This window comes from Homo sapiens, chromosome 6, assembly GCF_000001405.40.
Source record: "Homo sapiens chromosome 6, GRCh38.p14 Primary Assembly".
Classification (NCBI taxonomy): domain Eukaryota; kingdom Metazoa; phylum Chordata; class Mammalia; order Primates; family Hominidae; genus Homo; species Homo sapiens.
The window spans coordinates 117,244,220-117,247,995 of NC_000006.12; the positions used below are offsets into that span (position 1 = coordinate 117,244,220).

General features: G+C 42.3%; 2 annotated features.

The window, feature by feature from the left end:
• Positions 269-835: an enhancer, noted in NCBI's record as "H3K27ac-H3K4me1 hESC enhancer chr6:117565651-117566217 (GRCh37/hg19 assembly coordinates)". NCBI's record gives its function as "activates a minimal SCP1, AML or CMV promoter by ChIP-STARR-seq in primed H9 embryonic stem cells {active_cell/tissue: H9 hESC(primed)}" and the evidence as "EXISTENCE:reporter gene assay evidence [ECO:0000049][PMID:30033119]".
• Positions 827-1,121: an enhancer, noted in NCBI's record as "tiled region #7973; K562 Activating DNase unmatched - State 3:PromF". NCBI's record gives its function as "activates a minimal TATA promoter and a strong SV40 promoter by Sharpr-MPRA in K562 cells {active_cell/tissue: K562}" and the evidence as "EXISTENCE:reporter gene assay evidence [ECO:0000049][PMID:27701403]".

Below are 3,776 nucleotides of genomic sequence, written 5' to 3' on the forward strand. Positions count from 1 at the left end.
GCTTTGGTGTTGACCCCTGCAAGCAATAGTGCTAGAACATACATCATAAGCAACTTCTTTCAGAAAATAAAAAAGAGAAAACATTCCCAACTCTTAACATGAGGCTAGCATTGTCTAGGTAACAAAACAACCTAAGGATACTATAAGAAATGAAAATAACAGTACAGTTTCACTCATAAACATAGATGAAAAAATCCTATAAAAGACATTGCCAACCAAATAAAAAATGTATGGAAAAAAATGAGATATGACAATGATTGGTTAATATTAGAAAATCAATTAATGTAATTTACTGCATTAACAGATTAAGTAGAAAATCCATTGGGCCATCTCAATTGATGCAGAAAAATTGTTTGATAAAGCTCAACAGAGATTCATAATTAAAAATTAAATTTTACCAAACTAGTAACAGATGAAAACTTATTTTCCCTAATAAAGAACATCCACAAAAACTGAGAGAAAATTACATACTTAATGGTAAAATATTTGATACATTCAACTTAAGATTAGGAACAAGGCAAGAATGTTACCTAGGGGGAGGAGCCAAGATGGCCGAATAAGAACAGCTCCGGTCTACAGCTCCCAACGTGAGTGACGCAGAAGACGGTGATTTCTGCATTTCCATCTGAGGTACCAGGTTCATCTCACTAGGGAGTGCCAGACAGTGGGCGCAGGTCAGTGGGTGCGCACACCGTGCGCGAGCCGAAGCAGGGCGAGCCATTGCCTCACTTGGGAAGCGCAAGGGGTCAGGGAGTTCCCTTTCCGAGTCAAAAAAGGGGTGACGGACGGCACCTGGAAAATCGGGTCACTCCCACCCGAATACTGCGCTTTTCCGACGGGCTTAAAAAACGGCGCACCACGAGATTATATCCCACACCTGGCTTGGAGGGTCCTACGCCCACGGAGTCTCGCTGATTGCTAGCACAGCAGTCTGAGATCAATCTGCAAGGCGGCAGCGAGGCTGCGGGAGGGGAGCCCACCATTGCCCAGGCTTGATTAGGTAAACAAAGCAGCCAGGAAGCTCGAAATGGGCGGAGCCCACCACAGCTCAAGGAGGCCTGCCTGCCTCTATAGGCTCCACCTCTGGGGGCAGGGCACAGACAAACAAAAAGACAGCAGTAACCGCTGCAGACTTAAATGTCCCTGTCTGACAGCTTTGAAGACAGCAGTGGTTCTCCCAGCACGCAGCTGGAGATCTGAGAACGGGCAGACTGCCTCCTCAAGTGGCTCCCTGACCCCTGACCCCTGAGCAGCCTAACTGGGAGGCACCCCCCAGCAGGAGCACACTGACACCTCACACGGCAGGGTATTCCAACAGACCTGCAGCTGAGGGTCCTGTCTGTTAGAAGGAAAACTAACAAACAGAAGGGACATCCACACCAAAAACCCATCTGTACATCACCATCATCAAAGACCAAAAGTAGATAAAACCACAAAGATGGGGAAAAAACAGAACAGAAAAACTGGAAACTCTAAAAAGCAGAGCGCCTCTCCTCCTCCAAAGGAACGCAGTTCCTCACCAGCAACGGAACAAAGCTGGATGGAGAATGACTTTGACGAGCTGAGAGAAGAAGGCTTCAGATGATCAAATTACTCTGAGCTACGGGAGGATATTCAAACCAAAGGCAAAGAAGTTGAAAACTTTGAAAAAAAATTAGAAGAATGTATAACTACAGTAACCAATACAGAGAAGTGCTTAAAGGAGCTGATGGAGCTGAAAACCAAGGCTCGAGAACTACGTGAAGAATGCAGAAGCCTCAGGAGCCGATGCGATCAACTGGAAGAAAGAGTATCAGCAATGGAAGATGAAAGGAATGAAATGAAGCAAGAAGGGAAGTTTAGAGAAAAAAGAATAAAAAGAAATGAGCAAAGCCTCCAAGAAATATGGGACTATGTGAAAAGACCAAATCTACGTCTGATTGGGGTACCTGAAAGTGATGGGGAGAATGGAACCAAGTTGGAAAACACTCTGCAGGATATTATCCAGGAGAACTTCCCCAATCTAGCAAGGCAGGCCAACGTTCAGATTCAGGAAATACAGAGAACGCCACAAAGATACTCCTCGAGAAGAGCAACTCCAAGACACATAATTGTCAGATTCACCAAAGTTGAAATGAAGGAAAAAATGTTAAGGGCAGCCAGAGAGAAAGGTTGGCTTACCCTCAAAGGGAAGCCCATCAGACTAACAGTGGATCTCTCGGCAGAAACCCTACAAGCCAGAAGAGAGTGGGGGCCAATATTCAACATTCTTAAAGAAAAGAATTTTCAACCCAGAATTTCATATCCAGCCAAACTAAGCTTCATAAGCGAAGGAGAAATAAAATATTTTACAGACAAGCAAATGCTGAGAGATTTTATCACCACCAGGCCTGCCCTAAAAGAGCTCCTGAAGGAAGCGCTAAACATGGAAAGGAACAACCGGTACCAGCCACTGCAAAATCATGCCAAAATGTAAAGACCGTCGAGACTAGGAAGAAACTGCATCAACTAACGAGCAAAATAACCAGCTAACATCATAATGACAGGATCAAATTCACACATAACAACATTAACTTTAAATGTAAATGGACTAACTGCTCCAATTAAAAGACACAGACTGGCAAATTGGATAAAGAGTCAAGACCCATCAGTGTGCTGTATTCAGGAAACCCATCTCACCTGCAGAGACGCACATAGGCTCAAAATAAAAGGATGGAGGAAGATCTACCAAGCAAATGGAAAACAAAAAAAGGCAGGGGTTGCAATCCTAGTCTCTGATAAAACAGACTTTAAACCAACAAAGATCAAAAGAGACAAAGAAGGCCATTACATAATGGTAAAGGGATCAATTCAACAAGAAGAGCTAACTATCCTAAATATATATGCACCCAATACAGGAGCACCAAGATTCATAAAGCAAGTCCTGAGTGACCTACAAAGAGACTTAGACTCCCACACATTAATAATGGGAGACTTTAACACCCCACTGTTAACATTAGACAGATCAACAAGACAGAAAGTCATCAAGGATACCCAGGAATTGAACTCAGCTCTGCACCAAGGGGACCTAATAGACATCTACAGAACTCTCCACCCCAAATCAACAGAATATACATTTTTTTCAGCACCACACCACACCTATTCCAAAATTGACCACATACTTGGAAGTAAAGCTTTCCTCAGCAAATGTAAAAGAACAGAAATTATAACAAACTATCTCTCAGACCACAGTGCAATCAAACTAGAACTCAGGATTAAGAATCTCACTCAAAACCGCTCAACTACATGGAAACTGAACAACCTGCTCCTGAATGACTACTGGGTACATAACGAAATGAAGGCAGAAATAAAGATGTTCTTTGAAACCAATGAGAACAAAGACACAACATACCAGAATCTCTGGGACACATTTAAAGCAGTGTGTAGAGGGAAATTTATAGCACTAAATGCCCACAGGAGAAAGCAGGAAAGATCCAAAATTGACACCCTAACATCACAATTAAAAGAACTAGAAAAGCAAGAGCAAACACATTGAAAAGCTAGCAGAAGGCAAGAAATAACTAAGATCAGAGCAGAACTGAAGGAAATAGAGACACAAAAAACCCTTCAAAAAATGAATGAATCCAGGAGCTGGTTTTTTGAAAGGATCAACAAAATTGATAGACCGCTAGCAAGACTAATAAAGCAAAAAAGAGAGAAGAATCTAATAGATGCAATAAAAAATGATAAAGGGGATATCACCACCGATCCCACAGAAATACAAACTACCATAAGAGAATACTACAAAAACCTCTACG